The sequence below is a fragment of the Homo sapiens genome, chromosome 18, assembly GCF_000001405.40.
Source record: "Homo sapiens chromosome 18, GRCh38.p14 Primary Assembly".
In the NCBI taxonomy this organism is placed as follows: Eukaryota; Metazoa; Chordata; class Mammalia; order Primates; family Hominidae; genus Homo; species Homo sapiens.
This window is the reverse complement of record NC_000018.10, coordinates 57536673-57557326: the sequence shown is the minus strand read 5'-3', so window position 1 is coordinate 57557326 and position 20654 is coordinate 57536673. Positions and strand designations below refer to the sequence as shown.

The following is a 20654-nucleotide window of genomic DNA, read 5'->3' as shown; positions in this document are numbered from 1 at the left end:
AAGAACACTGATCTAGCACACTCTTCTCTTCCCCTGCGTTCCCTTCTGACAACTTTTTAAACTTTATTTTGAAGAAATTTTTAGACTTACAGAAAACTGATTAAAAGAGTACAGAGTTAAAAGAGTACATATACCCTCTACTCAGCCTCTCCCAGTGTTAACATCTTACACAACCACTGTACAGTTACCAACGCTGAGAAACCAGCGCTGGTACAATACTATTAACTGCACTCCAGGCTTCATGTGGATGCCACTTGTGTTTCCAAAAATGTCCTTTTTCTCTCCCAGGACCCAGTCCAGGGTCCCACACTGTGTGTGGCTGTGGGGTTTCCTCAGCATCCTCCAATCTGTGACAGTCCTGATACTTGGCTTGTCTTTCATCAGCTTGACTTTTTTTTTTTTTTTTTTTTTTTTTTGAGACAGGGTCTCACTCTGTCACTCAGGCTGGTGTGCTGTGGTGCAGTCACGACTCACTGCAGCCTCGACCTACCAGACTTGGGTGAGCCTCTCACCTCAGCCTCCCGAGTGACTGGGACTACAGGTGCACACCACCACACCCAGCTAATATTTGTATTTTTTGAAGAGACAGGGTTTCACCATGTTGCCCAGTCTGGTCTCGACCTCCTGGGCCCAGGTGATCCACCCACCTCAGCCTCCCAAAGCGCTGAGATTGTAGGTGTGAGGCGCCACGCCCCACCACACGTTGATATTTCTGAGGAGTCATTTTTAGGATGTCAGTTGTTTTCTGGTGCGTCCCTCCATCTGGGTTCGTCTGAAGTTTTCTCATGATTAGGTTGCGGTGATGCATCATTGGCAAGAACCCACAGGGGTGCGGGGCCCTGCTCTGTGCCTCACACCCGGGGGTCTGTGATGCCAGCGTGCTTTTCTACTGGTGATGTGATCCCTGGCCACTTGTTTAAGGGTGTGTCTGCTGTGTTGATCCATCCTAAAATTACTATTTTTCTCTTTGTAATTAAAAATATCTTGGAGGAGATACTTTAAGACAATACAGAGATTTTGTTATTTCCTAGCATCCATGGGTAGATCGTGTTTGTAGTAATTACCACATTGCTGTCCTAATGGCAACTTTGTGTTTCCTTCATTCCATCTACATTTATGCCTCCCATGGCTTTTAAACAGACCAGTAGTAATAATCATAAAATAATTTGTCAGTATATATATATAATTTTTTGTTTTCGAGATGGAGTCTTGCTCTGTCACCCAGGCTGGAGTGCACTGGTGCAATCTCGGCTCACTGCAGCTTCCGCCTCCTGAGTTCAAGTGATTCTTCTGCCTCAGCCTCCTGAGTAGCTGGAATTATAGGTGTGCGCCACCACACCAGGCTCATTTTTGTATTTTTAGTACAGACAGGGTTTCACCATGTTGGTGAGGCTGGTCTCGAACTCCTGACCTCAGGCGATCAGCCCACCTCAGCCTCCCAAAGTGCTGGGATTACAGGCGTGAGCCACTGCGCCCCATCTATCAGTATATTTCATTTCACCAATATTTATTGAGCACCTGCTATATTCCAGGCACTGTTTCCAGCCATATCATAGGATATGGGAATGAAGAAAACAGAGAAAAATCTTTGTTTGCAGAGAGTAGGGAGAAAAGATAATAAACATAATACATATGAAAATGGTATGGTAGATTAGCAGGCAATATATGTTATAGAAGAAAATAAAGCCAGGTGAGGGCTAGGGAGTCAGTACACAGTAAATATTTAAAGCATTAAAATTTGCATTGAAAATTTTCAAAGGTATTAACAAGGGATCATGTATGAAACATTTGCTGTGCACAAAGTGTTTGCCTGTTGTCCATTGTTGCAGGAAGAGTGGGGAGAGAGGAAGTGGAAGGTGCAGGTCACACTCTTGGAGGTGCCTGTAACCTGCAGTGATGTGCTGCTGCTTTCCTCCTCTAATTCCACCAGGGTTTACCATAAATCCAGCAGTTCTGTACATTGTCCATGCAGCACTGTTTCAGTTCCTGTTGTGAAATCAACTACACACATGACCACCAGGGTAGAAGTTCCCATCCTGCCCAGCTTTTCTGTGTCTTCTTCATCTATTGGATGAGGGAGAGAGAACCATCCTCTTTAGTTAGATCTTGTGAGTCCCCCATGAATAACGTGGAACATGGAATTCTCCACCCTCTTAGGGACCTTAGAGATGATTGACTGCGGTGTTTTTCTTTGGCTGATGAAGAAGTGGAACTAAGGAAGTTTGGTGATTGAACTCAGACCATATCATCATTGGTGCAGGAGACAGAAAGGGAGGGCTTTGTTCCAGGGCTCACACTGTGTCAGCACATAGTCAGAGGCTCTCGGGGCCTTCCCAGTGTTAATGGCTGAACACCCATTGTGTCTCTGCTGCAGGTGGTCAACAGAGGCGACCCATATCCTCAGGAGGTAAGCGCCACTGTCCAAAAAGTCATGGAAAGGCTGGAGTACTGCAACCCCTACCGACTGGTGTGGCAATCCAAGGTAAGTGGCTTCCACACTGGCGGGCGGCCAGCTCTTATTGGTAAAATTTATTTTATGAGTTATAAAATGGTTAGATTTGGCTCTTACACATGGTCAGGCTCTTCCATAACCTGATTGCTCACCATGGGCAGAAAGAACTCTGCAAGCGAGTAAGATAGAAGGGGAAATCAAGTGACTCGTGGAGCTCCATTGGTTTAATATTTTACCTTTAGCTGCAATGACAGAAACTGTTATTTATTTATATTGAGGCAACTTCTAGGATTCAAGTTTCCATGTGAAAATATCAAAATCCATTCAAGCAGGTGTAAAGAGTGGCTCTTGCCCGCAGTGGGCAGTGCGTGTGCCCAGGGGGGCAAACAGGGGTACTACAGACCGTCAGGAGGCATAGTCCACTTACGCATTCGTCTATCTTTCGCATAGGTTGGTCCAATGCCCTGGTTGGGTCCTCAAACAGACGAATCTATCAAAGGGCTTTGTGAGAGGGGGAGGAAGAATATCCTCTTGGTTCCGATAGCATTTACCAGTGACCATATTGAAACGCTGTATGAGCTGGACATCGAGTACTCTCAAGTTTTAGCCAAGGAGGTAAATGCACCCATCTGCCTTTTTCCCATCATGACTTGTTTTAAAAGGAAATTTTTTCTGCAACTAACTAATGTATCATTCAGAAATATTGTTTACTGTATTTGTTTGCATGTACGGTGTCCTCATTCTCCTGAATAATACTTCATCTGAGTAATAATCTCAACACATTGAGTTAATTCCATGCAGTGGGAGGGGAAACCTGTGCTTTCCTTAAACCAGGTGCCCCAGGGATCACTGTGGCTGACATCATTTTGTTTAGTTTGAGTTACTGGGCTACTCGAAAGTAATAACAACTATATTTCTTTAAGAAAAAAGAAATGTACTTCTCACTAATTCCAAAGGAAAACATTTTATTGTTTTATAATTTCTTTTCTTTGCCTAATCATGACCTTTACTCAGGGCTATTATTACATGGCTTCTTGTTGAGTGTCAAGGCATATAGGAGTCATTGTCATTTAAAAGAAGAGCGTGAAATGAACATGGAAGCAATGTGTGATGTGATTTCCTTGACCTCTTTTATGCACTCACTTAATTAGCTGTTTGCTGTTATGTTGTGATCAATCTGATTATTGAAATAACAAATACCATCTTTGGTGTCTTGTAATATGAGATAGATGTGAATTGTCATTCAGGGAGGAGAAAAACTATTGTTCATCTATGTCCTGGCTTTTGAGAGCCAGCCTAAAACCTATTCCAATATATAGCTTTATTTTTATGGGAAGTGTGGAAGCGTTGGGACCCAAGAAACCCTTTCCTCCCTCTCTGCCAGAGTTTCTGGCCCTGGTCACCCCAAGTATGATAGATGGAGGACCATCCTGCAGGAGACTTCACCCTCTCTGGGACTGGGCAGCAGGTGTAGGGCAGGGTAGAGAGTGGGTGGGGGCAGAACTTGAGCCAACACCTGATCCCCGTGGAATTTGAATTTCCATGCTGGACATCAATCAGACATGGGTGAAGTTAGGGAGCACCTAAGTTTCTTGTCAGTGGTTCTGACACAGGATTTGCAGGCAAGTTGTAATTGGCTAAGAAATGGTTGCAGCATTGTCTATGGATTTTGTTTAAAGATGCCTTCTGTATCTCACTATGAGCTTGGCTAATTGTGAACTTGCTAAAACTTCAGTGAAAATATAGTTTATACCAATATGTTTGGAAATCAATTTTTTTATTTTAAATTTATTATGATTTTATAAATTTGCTTAGAGATGAAATCTGGCTCTGTCAACCAGGCTGGGGTGCAGTGGCACAATCATAGCTCCCTTTAGCCTCAAAATCCCAGGCTCAGGTGATCCTCTCCTCAGCTACCTGAGTAGCTGGGACTACAGGTGCACATGGAATTTCAGTGTTGGTATATATTTTTCTAGTCAGTGTATCGCTGACTCTCCCATCAACATTGTTGGAGAATGCCCTTTACCAACGCTGGTTATTCTGTTGTAACTGACTTTTATATGAAGTTTGAGAATACAGCCTCTTCAGTTGAGATCCATGTGTTTGCTGAATCTCAACGTTTTTCCCATGCCAGTCTCCTGATGTTAATGCTAATCTAAAAGATCAAGTAGCTGAGGCCAGGTGTGGTGGTTCACACCTGTAATCTCAGCACTTTGGGAATCCGAGGCAGGTGGATCACCTGAGGTCAGGAGTTTGAGTCCAGCCTGGCCAACATGGTGAAACCCCATCTCTACTAAAATACAAAACTTAGCTAAGCGTGGTGGTACGTGCCTGTAATCCCAGCTACTTGGGAGCCTGAGGCAGGAAAATCACTTGAATCTGGGAGGTGGAGGTTGCAATGAGTTGAGATCGCACTACTGCACTCCAGCCTGGGCAACAGACTGAGACTGCCTCTCAAAAAATAAATAAATAAATAAATAAAATAAAATAAATAAAAAATAAAAGATCAAGTAATTGAAAAGCTATCAAAAGAAAAGGGAAAGAGAAGAATCCTAACTACCTGAGTAAATCATAATTAGACCATTTTCAGTTATTAGGCAGTGGATATTTTTGGAGCCGGGAGCAGGGATGGTACAGAAACAATCCTCCCATTGTTTTCCTTTAGATTTTTCTCCATAAGAATATATTTCAGGCCAGACTTGGTGGCTCACACCTGTAATCCCAGCACTTCGGGAGGCTGAGGCGGGTGGATCGTTTGAGGTCAGGAGTTCGAGACCAGCCTGGCCAACATGGTGAAACCTTGCCACTACCAAAAATACAAAAATTAGCTGGGCATGGTGGTGCATGCCTGTAATCTCAGCTACTTGAGAGGCTGAGGCAGGATGATCCCTTGAACCCGGGACGCAGAGGTTGCAGTGAGCCGAGATTGCGCCACTGCACTCCAGCCTGGGTGACAGAGCAAGACTCCATCTCAAAAAAAAAAAAAAGAAAAAAGAATATATTTTAAAACCCAACTCTGAATTGGTTCCAGTGTAGGTCCAATACATATTTTATAGTCGATAAGTTAATTTACCTCATTTTGGCACTTGGGATCAAAACAAGTATGAAACTATATTTACAGTAACATTCTACTTAGGAAGAGTCTGTAAAATTATGCACTAGCAAAAGAGAATAAAAAAAGAATGGTAAACAGATTTAAATTGCTTGAGAATTTCATCAAGTGTAACCACAAAAAGGATTTGCAAACAAACCACCTTTAGGAAGGTAATGGGGAAGGGGAAGGACATAAGAATTGAGGAATAATTTATGATAACAGAATCAACATACAGCCCTGCCCCATGAGTATTTTTCATTAATGAGCAGTCTGCGAACAGTTGAAGTCAGACTTTGAATTGTGTGTGTGTATCTGTGTGTATTTATTTTTTTGTAGCAGTTTCTTTGAAAAAAAAAGGAAAATAAAATATATCTGTGTTTTTCCTCCCTTTTCTCATTTGATTCAGTGTGGAGTTGAAAACATCAGAAGAGCTGAGTCTCTTAATGGAAATCCATTGTTCTCTAAGGTATCTACAGTGTTACAATCGTTTTAGTAGAACATACCAGAGAGTAATCCTCTGAGAAACTCTTGCAGAATATTGGTTTTTCTCACATATTAGAACATTTGGAGTTCCAATTAATTACAAAAATAAAATCGAATTCCTTATCTGCTCAGTCTTTTTTCCTTCAGATAGCCCCAATTTTCTGATTTCTACCCACCTATAACTATGTCTGATTTAAAACCTGCTTTCCAGAGAAAAGGCCTAGTGGGTAGGGTAAGAGGTTTTCATCTCCTGAAATCTCTGTTTTAACTTTCTGTAAGCTGAGGATTCTCAGGAAAGGAAGATGCTGTAGAATTTGGTTCAAAGGGCTCACCACTCGGATGAAAAGAAACCCCAAGCCAGAGCGCTGACCTGGGCAGCTGGAGGAGGGGGCATGGCAGACGAGCAGACCCTGTGCTTCTCATGCGTCTTTGCCTCTTGTCTATCTTCCAGGCCCTGGCCGACTTGGTGCATTCACACATCCAGTCAAACGAGCTGTGTTCCAAGCAGCTGACCCTGAGCTGTCCGCTCTGTGTCAATCCTGTCTGCAGGGAGACTAAATCCTTCTTCACCAGCCAGCAGCTGTGACCCCCGCCGGTGGACCCCGTGGCGTTAGGCAAATGCCCAACCTCCAGATACCTCCGATGTGGAGAGGGTGTTATTTAGAGATCAAGGAAGGAAGTCATCCTTCCTTGATATATATACAGCCTTTGGGTACAAATTGTGTGGTTTCTTGAGGATTGGACTCTTGATGGATTTCTATTTTTATATAACTATACAGTAAGCATTTGTATTTTCTCTCTCTAGGTATAAGTTACTAGTTTGGAATGTCCATCAGGACCTTTAATAAATGAGTTAAAAATTTGTCTTATGAGACACACCTATTTAAGTACAGATTTTGGCTTTATTGCCCAAAACCCTCCTGAAAGGGTACGGAGAGTCCCCTCTGTGGGCTGGCAGTGTGAATGAGATCTGTTTAGTCTCGTGCATATAGTTGCTGTTTTTTAAATGAACACAGTTGAGTATTTGAAGTGAATTTGAAAAAGAAATGTTACTTAATCTTTCCCTAAGCCCATGGGTTACAGAATGCTAGGGAGGCAATTTGGTTACCTGCAATGGCTGCTTTTGCCAGCGAGGCCACCATTCATTGGTCATCTTGGTATTTGTGTGTGAATCTCACTTTCCTCAATGTAAAAAGGAATCAAGTATGGATTTCAGAGGTGCTCTTAGATTCCCCATACACCCAAGGGTAATAAACGTGTACAAGTACAGTGTTCATGATACGTGCCTTGGTGGGAGTCCGTGGTGCCACAGGGAAGGGGCTCCCACTGCTTCTGGTCTCCAGGGACAGTGCTGCTGGAAAGGCTAGTGATGAGCTTCACCCTGGAGCTCCTCCCGGGACCTTGCAAGCCTCTCCATCCAGCATCTTCTCTATCTTAGTTGAATGCCTTCTTTCTGAACATTTGTTTTAAGAATTATTTTATAAAGTCAACAATACTTTGCTTGAATTCTTTCTTAATTTACGATTTTTTATTATAAAAATGTATAGTGATACAATGGGACATGTGAAGAATACAGAAAAGTAACCACTTTAATGCAATAACTGTTATCATAATATTGTATTTCGTGGTAGTCCTTTCCTGTAGATATTTTTAATGCCATTTAATGCCATTGTCACCTTGGATTTATGAGTGAAAAGTGTTTCTAAAAATATAGAAATAATGTCAGATCAGAGTCTGATCTTCTATGTTTGTATTTAAATGGATTAAAAGATCCCCGGTGGTTCCATGAAGAATTTGTAAAGATCACTTTCTCTTTCCTCCAAGCCCTGAAACTTTGTTCTTCAAAAGAGCGTTTCTTTTTTTTTTTTTTTTTAGCCAGTTTATAAAGTGGAAGTATTAGGAGATTCATAAATCTTCTATATTGAGAATTGGCTATGTTAATAAATATTACAACATCATTAAGGTTTTAGCTAAGTTTGATTCATGCTGTCTGTTAAATCAAAACTGATCTAAATCAGAATTATTAAATGTGAGGAGCTTTTTTAATACAGGAAAAGAAACATGTCATCCACTTGAGTTAATAGTTTTCCTACGTTGATGACAGCCCTCATGAGTAGCATCCACATTTTTAAAATTTCAAATTGGTTTTTCTACTAGTAGATTGTGTTTCTAGAGAAAGATACAAGGCATAGGTGATTGTTTAGGATTTTCCTCTAGCCTTTGCCATTACCTTTTTGGGGATGAGGTTCACAGTAGACTTTGAGTGACCGTCCCACCGTGAAGTGAATTCTCTGAGCTGGTGGTGTGGTGCTGGAAGGAAGGTTATTTTTGGAGCCACTCTCTCCCCTTAAGGATATTTCCCAAGGGCCTGCTTCAATTCTTTGATGACTTTAGAGGTGAAAAAATATTTTTATGGAGATGATGCAGAAAACTCCAATTCAGGAGCCCTTGCGAGTATATCTGAAGCACTTATTTGCTAAGGAAACCTGAATTGATAGCAGTACTGTGCTGTCTGGAATAATGTCCTTGATACTGAGTTGGGACCAGACTGGCTTTTATAGTGACAGGCAAAGAGGAATTTATTGAGATCACTGCTCATGGCATTTGTTGCTGTAAGAAGTGTTGCCTTTGATTGTTACTAACCACGGATGGGTAACGGTCATACATTAGGCTAGTGTTTGGTAGGACAAAATCTTTTTAGAGCTTTGAGAATTGTCATCCTGTTGGTCAACTTTGAAATACAAATGTTTGCCCTGGTAATTAGCAATGAACTGCTGGCAGTTTCTTCAGCTGTGTATATACGGATCTGGCTTTTAATTGATGAATCAACTTCTACAGAAACTTTTGCAGGGACAGTGTTGATGAGGCAGTTTAGCTTGCCAGGGTGATGATAAAGCCCAGGTCCCTGCATGTATAGTGCTCTTCTAAAGAATATGCATTCTTGAACTACTTAACTTTTTAAAAATCACAATAAATTTTTGCACTCAAAATTTGCTTCGTATCAGGAGAAATGAACTCATTGTTTTGTTTTGTTTTTTTTTTTTTTTAAGATGGAGTCTTGCTATGTCACCCAGGCTGGAGGGCAGTGGTGCGATCTCGGCTCACTGCTACTTCCACCTCCTGGGCTCAAGTGATCCTCCCACCTCAGCCTCCAAGTAGCTGGGACTACAGGAGTGCTTCACCACGCTGGGCTACTTTTTTATATTTTTTGTAGAGATGGGGTTTTGCCATGTTGTCCAGGCTGGTCTTGAACTCCTGGGCTCAAGGGATTCTCCTGCCTCAGTCTCCCAAAGTGCTGGGATTACAAGGATGAGCCTCTGCACCTGGCCCTGAACTCATTATTAAAAGCCCTTTAAATGTGAGGCTGGGTGCCGTGCCTTACATGTGTAATTCCAATACTTTGGAAGGCCAAGGTTGGAGGATTGCTTGATCCCAAGAGTTCAAGACCAGCCTGGGCAACATAGGGAGACCCTGACTCTACAAAAAATAAAGTAAAAATTAACTGGGTGTAGTGTCACATGCCTGTAGTTCCAGCTACTTAGGAGGCTGAGGTGGTAGGATTGCTTGAGCCCAGCAGTTTGAGGTTGCAGTGAGGTGTGATTGCACCACTGCACTCCAGCCTGGGTGACAGAGGAAGACCCTGTCCCAAAACCAAAAAAAAGAAAAGAAATACAGAGACTGGGTCATTTACAAAGGAAAGAGGTTTAATTGACTCGGTTCGGCTTTCTGAGGAAGCCTTAGGAAATTGACAATCATGGCAGAAGGGGAAGCAGATGTCTTACATGGCAGTGAGTGAGAGCAAGCAAAGGGGAAGAGCCCCCTTATAAAACCATCAGATCTCGTGAGAACTGGCTGTCACAAGAACAGCATGGGGGAACTGTCTCCATGTTCCAATCTCCTTCCACCAGGTCCCTCCCTCAACACGTGGGGATTATGGGGATTACAATTTGAAATGAGATTTGGGTGGGGAACAGAGCCAAATCATATCATTCCACCCTGGCCCCTCCCAAATCACATGTCCTTTTTACATTTCAAAACCAATCATGCCTTCACAACAGTCCTCCAGAGTCTTAACTCATTCCAGCATTAACCCAAAAGTCCAAGTTCAAAGTCTCATCCAAGACAAGGCAAGTCCCTTCTGCCTGTGAGCCTGTAACATTAAAAGCAAGTTAGTGACTTCCAAGATACAATGGGAGTACAGACATTGGTAAATGTTCCCATTCCAAATGGGAGAAATTGGCCAAAACACAGGGGCTACAGGCCCCATGCACCACTGCACTCCACTGTGCAAGTCTGAAACCCGGCAGGGCACTCCTTAAATTTTTTTTTTTTTTTTTTGAGATGGAGTCTCGCTCTGTTGCCCAAGCTGGAGTACAGTGGCACGATCTCGGCTCACTGCAACCTCCGCCTCTTGGGTTCAAAGGATCATCCTGCCTCAGCCTCCGGAGTAGCTGGGCTACTCAGGCGTGTGCCACCATGCCCGGCTAATTTTTGTATTTTTAGTAGAGATGGGGCCTGACCATGTTGGTCAGGCTGGTCTCTAATTCCTGACCTCGTGATCCACCCGCCTCAGCCTCTGAAAGTGTTGGGATTACAGGCGTGAGCCACCATCCCCGGCCTACTCAATAAATCTTAAAGTTCCGGAATAATCTCCTTTGACTCCATGTCTCACCTCCAGGTCACGCTGATGCAAGAGGTGGGCTAATCTTTCTAGTAAATTCCATATTTAATTCAAGAAACCATAACTTAAGGCATGTAAAAGAGATCCTTTGCTCAATGTGATGCCATTGTGCTTATCCAAAGTATATTATTATTACCCACAAAGGGTGAGAGATTAGGCTGCAGCCATACCCCAAGTGGAGTGAGCAGCAAGACCTGCCCCCTGCTCAGAGTGTAGATGACTGGGGGCACCTGCATTCCTAGGGGCTCTGCCGTATGAGCTCCTGTCGATGCGGCAAAGGACCACCTTGCCCAACGACAGCGGGAAGGCAGAATTTAAAGCTGGCAGCTGTAAGCGAACGTCTATGTGTGCGCACGGGGGCACGTGAAGGCACAGGTGCATCAGCCAAGAACCTCCAATTCACCTCTTAACCTTCTCACCTCACCTGAAACCCCTTCTGCCAGAATCCTGAAGGTGGCCCAGGAACAGGGCTCCTAACGTTAGGTGGAAATGGGAAATTCATTGAGATGTCACAAGCTGGAATAAGAAAATTCTGAGCTCACCCGGAAACTAATGCCCTAAATTAAGATTATTCAGCTTCTCAATTTTTAATAGCAAAATGGAGACCTGAGTGTGGATAACTTTTAGTATCTGTGGGGGATCCTGGAACCAATTCCCTGCCAATATAGAAGGACAACTGTCTACAGTACTTGAAGTATTATTAACTACATTCGCCATGCTGTATGTTAGATCCCCAGAACATATTTATCCTGCATATCTAAAATTTTGATCATTTTACAAACTTTCTATTTTTTTTGTCAATTTTCTCCAGCTAGACACTTGTGCAATACGGCTATTATCTGATCTTTGCCTTAAATGTTGTGCTTCTTTTCCATATGCACGTATTTTGCAAAATATAAAGTGTGTAGAGCTATATAGCACTCAGCCAAGTGGTGGGTACCTGCAGGTGCTTCAGAGAAGTAAATTGATGCTGCTAATATTTGTTGAATGGCACGAATATGATGAGCAATAGCAGGTGGTGCCCTTCAGCCAGACCATCGCTCCGTGCGTCTGATGCATCTTGCCAAAGAGTAGTTCTGGGAGGTGGTTGCCTCTAGAGAACACATTCCTCCTATTCTGGGGTCCCGTGAGAGAAAGAAATGCTTTTGCTTTTGATGTGGGACTCTTACTAAGCCTTTCTTCAGAGAAAAGGAAGTGAAAAATGCACCCCATGATAATCAGTTTCTTACAACATACTGTGATAGTACCGGCTTCGTTGTTTTTAGCTGGAATCATTAGCTTCCATTTTTAGAATAACAGCTATTGGCTAAATTAGGCTACAGTAGGCCATTAAGATGGATGTTGGAATTAAAAACATTTTTGGAAAAAAGCCTGCTTTGAGCCTTTGTTATAAGCCCTTGGGTAGAGATCTGGGTCCTGTTTCTGATTTCTTGTGAGCCTTCACTCTGACAGTTTTGTTTCCAGAAACACACTCTTAGCCTGCTCCTGAAATGGGAACAGACAGGCCAACTTCCCCTCTCCAGTCTCCCCTGCGGGTCAAAGCTTTACTTTCCTGTCATGTTAAGAAAGAATAGATTTAACCTTGATAATCCATGTAGTATTCTGTATTTTTACCTTTTCCTTATCTGAAAAAAAGTGTATATATGGCATGGAATTGATTGCACAGGCACATGGCATGTTGGCTTGTGAACCAATTGTTAAAATTTCAAGTTAATCATTAAAATAATATCTTTCAAATTAAGTTATATTAAAAACAAAGGTAACATTCTAAATTCATTACTTTCTAATTATTTCGCCCTTTTTTTTGTCGTTGATTATTTAGACTTAAGAAAGTGATGGGAAAAACGTTAATAACACAGTACATAAGTTGTTTCTGTAGCCATTACACTGTGATTTTCACAAACACTTGAACACTTGAATAGTCTTCCATTATTTGAAAACTATTATTCAACTTATCCAAGTGAAGTATTGGCATACAAAGAAGTTGTTTCATATTTGCATTGCTCATGAATGTAAACAAAATGTCGATATGTGTGAACTATACTTGTTGATCAATTGCAACCATAGGTTGGCTGCAGATGCGAGAGCTTGGTAAACATCAACAAAAGCATTCTCTGAGAATGAATTGACTATATGGAATTTGTAGGAAAGTGTATTGTGTATTTTATTATTATTTGTAAATTGTGTATTCCACATCTTTTAGATTAGTAAAATTTATAGTAAACATACTCTCACACCTACATTATATGCATAGACTGTTTTTCAGATTGCTGGTTAGTCACCATTTACCAGCACACTGCTGCCTAAAAGGGAACTTTTCTGGGATGGTGGAAATGATATCTATGGATTGCATACTTGTATTATTCTCCACATTCACGACATAGAGAGGCAGCTCTCTCTATAATCACTGCCTATTTGGAGCAAAAGTTACCCCCACAGTGACTAGGGGTATAAGTCTTTTTAGTAAGATTCCATTTGTCTCCACCAAAAACCCATGGGCCTGTAGTACTAACAGAATCCATGGAAAGTGATTCCCAATCAACAGTTTCAGCCAGAGGGCTAAAAGGGACAAAAGCTTTCCGATGACAAAGGTCTGTCTGAAAAGTACATTTTGTTTTACTTGTCACCTCATCCGGCCCTGAAAACTTGTCACAGGGGAAGACCAACGCAGCAGTGGGTAAGGACCCACTTTAGGGGAGCATGAATTGCTCATTCTCAAGATTAGGCAGTGGGGAACAAAGTGGTCTCTTCCCGTCTGTTCCTCTGGGAGGGCTCCACGTTAAAGTGTCCATGACTACGCTGGAGAGAATGAGATGGAACCCTGTGTGCACAGCTGTAGAGCTCCAGCTGGCTCCTGAAGGCAGCCGACCTTTTCACTAACACTGGTGAGACTCTGTCACCAATGTGTCCCCGTCATACTCTAGAGCCTCGGGTTGCATGGGTCCTATTTTTCCTGAAGCAAACTAATCTTTTCCCGAAGCTACACTCTGCAGACAAGCAGCTTCTTTTATTTGTATCTTTCTCCTGTCAATTGCATGACAGAAAAGGAAAACTGTGTCAAATAGTGAATTCTAACCCCTTCCTATGCCTCAGAGCTCGACAGAAATAAAGACAGCTGCTCTGTGCAGCCACTTCACCGTTTTGTGTCCCGCAAGCCTCTCCCTGGGCCTCTTCCGAACTCCTGGTTCACTCTGTGTTTCTGCGATGCTTTCTCCTGTTTCCAGTTGCGGTATTACCCTTTGCTGCAATCCCTTGATCCTCAGGAGCTAGGAATATATTCAAGGTTTTATGCCTGATCCCTTCTGAATCCCCCAAAGGCCAAGTACCGAGCCGAGCCGTGGTGGTATCCAGCAGCAAAGGCTAGCCTGGCTTTACCTTCCTAAGAGCCGAATGTCTCTCCAGGAGCGTGATCAGACATCTCATTGCAGCTGTATAACATGAGGTAGCATTTTGAGGCTGTGTGGCTGCTTGGTTACATTCCCTTCTCAAAAAAATTTAAATGGGTTCCCCTAGACTAAGGATATGCACAGCCAAATGCTCCTGCCTGCATTAGAGCCATCTGGGCCAAATTATCTCCTGATCATGTTTCACTCCCAGCTGAGTCGTCCTCAAGTGCAGCGTAGAGATTGTTCAGGAAGCACCAGTGAAGACGGCCCAACGACTGGGAAGCCGGAGGACAGGGGCAAACACGTTATCAAGGCTTTCGGCTCAGCGAAGTCTGACTTCGGGGCAAGACTGGGCACTGCCGTGGTGAGCAGGACATTCTTCTGTCCCTGCTCAGAGCTGGGCTGTTTCAAACATTGTTTGGGTCCATCAAGTTTATAAACAAAAGAACTGTATTAGGTGGGCTTTCTTTGACTCTGGGGGAAACACAGCAAAAGGAAACAAGAGACCTCAAGGAGGGATGGAGAGTGGGCAAATTGGCAAGGTTTGTAAATACATAAACAGTTTTCTGAATAATATGTTATTTTAAAACAACCTTCACAGTCTGCTTAGTCTGTGGAGCTGTAGTCCTGCTTAATTAAAGCAGGGGTCTGGAGGGATTAACCTTCATTTGAATATACGAATTTTTCTTTCTGAGACTGCATCCAGTGGTGTGCTGATAAACGTTTAACAACGGGCTCTCTGGGAGAAAAAGGAACCCTGATTTGTAGCATTTGCTGATTTTCATGGTGTAAATACTACCACTGCTGCTGGCTCCAAGCTACCAACGTGGCATTACTGATCATAGAGTTGGGAGGAGTTGTTAAAGATTGGCTTTCCTGAGCCAGCATGAGCCAGCTCCTGCACATTGCTGACTCTATCCCTTGTCAGAGGTCTTACTATGTATTCTGGAATGTTCCCCCACCTTGCTCCCTTCCTGCAGTGAACAGAGCAGAATCCTACAGAACCTAAGAAGTAATGGGAGTATGGGGAGCCCAAGGAGTGATAAGTCAGATTATTTTCACGGCAGTTGGAGCACCCCCACAATGAACATTGGGAGCCTGGAGCAGACACCCCGTGGACCACAGCCAAGGGCAGCCTCTTTTCAGAGAGGCCTGAGTGTGCCTGCCTGTGGGTCACAGGGAAAGGCTGTTGGTTTGATGTGTTACTCTCTCTCTTTTTTTTTTTTTTTTTAACAGATGGGGTCTCCTTTTGTTGCCCAGGCTGGTGTGCAGTGGTGCCATCATAACTTAACTCACTGCAGCCTAGAACTCTTGGGCTCCTCCTGCTTCAGTTTCCTGAGTTGCTGGGACTACAGGTGCATGCCACCACACCAGGCTAATTTTTAAATTTTCTTTTTGTAGAGATGGGGTCTCGCTATGTTACCCAGGCTGGTCTCGAACTCCTGGCCTCAAGTGATCCTCCTGTCTCTGTCTCCCAAAGTGCTGGGATTACAGGCATGAGACACTGCACCCAGCCTTTTAATTATTTTTTGTATGCTTAAAAATCTTTAGCATTATAAGCCATCTGCTCTGCCCACCTGAAAAGATGGTGTGAGAATCATCTGAGACAACATGTAAAACCAGAATGTAGACTAGAAAGGGCTTTGTATCTGTAGTGGGCTATTATTCATTAACACCTATGAATATTTGGACATAGCACCTAGGTCATAATTTTAAAATATATTTTTCTTACTAAAATTTATTTTAAAATGTGGAAAGTAAGATACATAAAAAAGGGGAAATTACGCATGAACTTATGACACTTTGATGAAACTAACCCCACATATTTTATGCATACTTTAAAATTATAAAAATACTCATATGTTTCTTCTATACTCTGTATTGCTCATTTAACATCTCATGGACATGTCTTATTTGTCATGACATATTACTAAACAATGATTTTGACAAATATCCTTATAGACAAAATCTTTGGACATATCCTTGATCATTTCCATAGGAAAAGTTCTTGGAAGTGTGTTGTCTGAGTCAAAGGCTATTCTTGCAGATTTTTTTTTAAAGGATGAAATGAGATCACATATGTAATGTGTTTAGTACAGTGCAGTGTCTGAGATATATGTGTGTGCATGAGTGTGTGTATGTGTGTTGAAGGCCCAATAAATGGTAGTCATTATTAACTTGTATTAATTTGGTTAGCACACTATTGCTGTATTGTTCTTAGTGGTGTTATAGTTTTTTTCTGGGAGTATTATGAAGAGAGTGTGATGGCAGGAATCTAGGGGATCAGTTCTCTTGTCCTGTTTTGTTTTTGTTTTTTGAGACAAGGTCTTGCTCTGTCACTCAGGCTGGAATGCAGTGACACAATCCTGGCTCTCTGCAACCTTGACCTCCTGGGCTTAAGTGATCCTCCTGCCTCAGCTTCCCAAGTAGCTAGGTGTATAAGTTGGTTTTCACACTGCTATAAAGAACTACTTGAGACTGGGTAGTCAAAGTCAAAAGAAGTCTAATTGACTTGCAGTTTCTGCGGGCTTAACAGGAAGCATGACTGGAAGGCCTCAGGAAACTTAGAATCACAGCAGAAGGCGAAGGAGAAGCAAAGACCTTCTTCACATGGTGGCAGGAGAGAGAGAATGAGAGAGAAGTGCCATATACTTTTAAACCATCAGATCTTATGAGGACTCACTATCACGAGATCACCAAGGTTAAATCTGCCCCCATTATCCAATTACCTTCCACCATGCCCCTCCTCCAATTCTACACGAGATTTGGGTAGGGACATAAATCCAAACCACATCACTGGGACTACAGATGCACCACCATGGCCAGCTAATTCTGTGTGTGTGAGTCTGTAGAGATGATGTCTCCCTATGTTGCCCAGACTGGACTCAAACTCCTGGGCTCAGGAGATCCTCCCACCTCAGCTTCCCAAAGTGCTTGGATTACAAGTGTAAGCCACCACACCCGGCCTGTCCTGCTCTTTCTGTTCCTTGCTACCATTTACTTTTTGGTCACTTGCCTTGATAGGGTTATAGGAAGAATGGGATTGATGGGCATAGGAAGAAGAGACACATGACAAAGCCATTTTTTCTTATTTATCAATAACTTTGCAAAAAGTCTGAGTGTTAAGAAAGTTGAGTTTCAGGTTAGAACAACTTGGGGGATTATGTGTGGATTTTACTTACCCTTTGCAGGTCTATAGGTACCTCAGTATTGCCTGTGTGTGTCCTGAGTGCCCTCCTGTCCCCAAACAGCTCTCAGCAGCCTCCCAGAGGGCAGAGCCATCCATCAAAGCTGGGCAGGTCTCCAGCTCAGGTAACCACCGCACTTACACAATTGTCCCTTACGAAAAGGCAGCGGGGAATGTGTTCTTCCTGTTTCTGCCCTCCTGAAGGTTTTCATGTCCATGCTAACCCACTGTGGGCCTGGGCCAAGGCCAAGTTGCCCATCAATATTTTAAAGTAGTGGTGTTATAAAATTTATGGAAGATGCACAAAGAACAATCCCCTGAAGTGACAAGCCCGCTGAGGAGGGATATTGGCTAAAAGGAGATATCCCACTTTGAAACAGTGTGAGATCAAGTGCCCGAGCTGGTGAGGCCCTTTGTATGCATAGGGCCTGGAGCTTGGTGGAAAATCTGACCTGGTTTCAAATCCCACCTACAACTGTTAATTCATTTGGTTATCTATTAACAGTCTCCTGGCAGCTTACTTTTATGTTTAAAATTAAGTGCTCGATTGATTATTTTCTAGAACAGTGATGGGATGTTGTTCTATACTTAAGCCAATCCATTAGTGGGCTCTCTCATTCCTGATCTCTTTTCCTTCCTTTCTTGGTTCATTTTGTGTGTGTGTGTGTGTGTATGTTTGTGTGTGCGTGTGTAAGCACACGTGCATGTGTGTGCACCCGAAGTTTGTGGGAGTCAGAGGATGGAGGAAGAGTCTTTATTCTGAAATCAGAGGAAAGTACGGCTTTTATATTTCTTCCAAACTATATATTTACAAGGATTTTTCAACACCCAATGAGAGGTAGTTATTTCTTGGCATGATTCATAGGTGGAAGCAGTGTCTGACTCTATTCCTTGTCAGAGGTCTTACTATGTATTCTGGAATTTTATATTATGGGGAATTTTATATTATGGGGATTTCATTTTATCAAAAATCTTGCATAAGCTGCTATTTTTGAAACCCTCCATTTTTCTTTTATCTACTTTGGAGGCGTCTTCAAATATTTCCATATTTCCAAGATTTGCTTCTGAGGATTGAGACTCAATTACTTTTTTAAAAAATTGGGTTTATTAAATATGGGCTAGATAGAAAAAATATGACATATGTAACGCAGAGCTCCTGACTCTCGTGCTTGGGCAGGTTCCTCGGTGTGTTTGGAACTTACCAGTTTCTTCAGCCTGGAGTGTAGCCAGGTGTGGCCTGAGGTGGCCTGAGCTCCCAAGCAGGTCATCTCTGGCCACCAGAACAGTGCTGTCTGGGCTTCTGACAGCAGCATGAGCAAAGGAGGATCTGACCTCTGTTTTACCAGGAAAATATTTGAAAACACTGGAATCATGTGTCAAGGATGACAATTAAAAACATTCATGTCCCCATTTTACAGCCTGAGAAGTAGTCTGTGCCATTCCCTCAAAATCTGCCCCTTAGTTAGGGCAGATGCTCGTTCTAGTTTATAGATGAGAAAAGTAGGTACACACGGCTAATTAGGAACAGTCAAGACTGAAGCACATGTTCCTCCATTCCCAGCCTGTAATAATGGCTACTTCCATGTGTGTGCACGCCAGTCCAGAGAACTGGCTTTTTACACATCAACTCTATTCATCTTTACAATAAAGCTGTGGGTAGATGTTGCTATTCACATCCTCAGACTGGGCTTCTAGGATACAGTGATCCAGAGAAGAAGCATTCAGTCCATCAGTGCTGAAGTGATGAAGCATCCTCATCTCCTGTCTGCCTGCTGGAATGTTCTGTCTCAGAGCCAGCAAGTTTCAATAAAGAAGCCCAGCCACCTCTGTCTTTGTAGTCTTATAACCCAAGGACCCATTGGGAACAAGCAGGAAGTCTGCACTACGGAACTTGCTTTACATAGAAGTGTGTTTCTGAAAATGTCCATTGAAATGGAATGCATTAGTCTCTTTTCATACTGCTATAAAGAACTGCTTGAGACTGGGTAATTTATAAAGGAAAGAGGTTTAATTGACTCACAGTTCGACATGGCTGGGGAGACCTCAGGAAACTTACAATCATGCCATAAGGTGAAGTGGAAGGAAGGCACCTTCTTCACAAGATGGCAGGAAGGAGAAGTGCCAAGTGAAGGGGGAAGAGCTCCTGACTCTTGTGCTTGGGGAGTTTCCTCGGTTTGCTTGGAACTTATCAGTTTCTTCAGCCTGGAGTGTAGCCAGGTGTGGCCTGAGGTGGCCTGAGCTCCCAAGCAGGTCATCTCCAGCCATTCACGTGATAGTGAATGACAGCTCATTCACTATCATGAGAACAGCATGGGGGAAACTGCCCCCATGATTCAATTACCTTCACCTGGTCTGTCCCTTGACACATGGGGACTGTGGGGATTATGGGGATTACAATTCAAGATGAGATTTGGGAGGGGACCAAAGCCTAACCATATCATGGAAGTTTTAAAAATCTAATTGCATTGAACATGTATTTGGGAGGGTTAGGATCTACAAGAAACCTTCATTGAAGAATCTTTCCCCAACACACACCTGACTTGGACAATTTATCAATCTAGATATTTGACTCAGGCTAGAATATGTCTTGGCTCAATTGCCAAATCTTACTAAGAGTAAGGAACTGGGTTCCAATGGGCAAAAGGCCTTCTGTTCTTAGGAGCTCTGTAATGGTAAAGAGCACAGCTGGGGCTGGGGCTGACTTGCCAGGGGGCTATTCAGCGCCCATTCTTACCAAAGTGTGGAGATTTCAGTTCTGCAGAACCTAATGCCTTGGCCTCAGAAGCCTAAGTACCCAACGACTCTCATGCTATGCGGGCCTACAAAGCTTGAACAAGAGATATTTATTCTCTCACAATGCTGGAGCCCAGAAAGCCTAAAGTCAAGGCATCAGCAGGGCCAGGAAAGAATCTTCCTTGGGTCTTCCAGCTTCTTGTGGCTCCAGGCATACTTTGGCTTGTGGCTGCATGGCTCCATCTCTGCCTCCATCTTCACATGGCCTTCTCTCCTGTGTCTGTGTCTTCTCTTCTGATTTTATTTTTATTTTATTTTTAAATTTTTATCATAGCTGACTGCAGCCTTGCACTCCTGGGCTCAAGCGATCTTCCCACCTTGGCCTCTCAAGTAGCTGGGATTACAGGTGTGAACCACTGTGCCCGGCTCCTCCTCTGTTTTTTGTAAGGATGCTTGTCATTTGGGTTAGGACTCACCTGGATAATCCCGATGATCTCTTCAAGATATACTTAAACTAATTACATCTGCAAAGTTGCCTTCTCCAAAACAGGTCCCATTCAGAGGTTGTGGGGGTTAGGATGTGTTAGGATCTCTTAGGGGGGCACCATTAAACTCACTGCATGCCCCCTTCTTCCCTT

At 43.0% G+C, this 20654-nt stretch overlaps 1 protein-coding gene across 6 annotated transcripts in view, besides 2 other annotated features; it reads left to right on the top strand.

The window, feature by feature from the left end:
* The window catches only part of FECH (ferrochelatase), a 42326-nt gene extending 29376 nt beyond the window's left edge, over positions 1 to 12950 (top strand). For 5 of the 6 annotated variants that reach the window (NM_001371094.1, NM_000140.5, XM_011525881.2 and 2 more), the window contains 4 exons: positions 2375 to 2482; positions 2903 to 3067; positions 5953 to 6012; positions 6481 to 12950. In NM_001371094.1, coding sequence (NP_001358023.1) covers positions 2375 to 2482; positions 2903 to 3067; positions 5953 to 6012; positions 6481 to 6615 — 468 coding nt within the window. In that variant the 3' untranslated portion in view covers positions 6616 to 12950. The remainder of the gene's footprint in view (positions 1 to 2374; positions 2483 to 2902; positions 3068 to 5952; positions 6013 to 6480) is intronic. The other variant, NM_001374778.1, reaches the window with a different exon arrangement.
* Positions 9743 to 9943: a silencer, noted in NCBI's record as "peak3163 fragment used in MPRA reporter construct". NCBI's record gives its function as "represses an SCP1 promoter by STARR-seq MPRAs in K562 erythroleukemia cells {active_cell/tissue: K562}" and the evidence as "EXISTENCE:reporter gene assay evidence [ECO:0000049][PMID:32103011]".
* Positions 11691 to 11800: an enhancer, noted in NCBI's record as "active region_13370". NCBI's record gives its function as "activates an Ori minimal core promoter by ATAC-STARR-seq in GM12878 lymphoblastoid cells {active_cell/tissue: GM12878}" and the evidence as "EXISTENCE:reporter gene assay evidence [ECO:0000049][PMID:35858748]".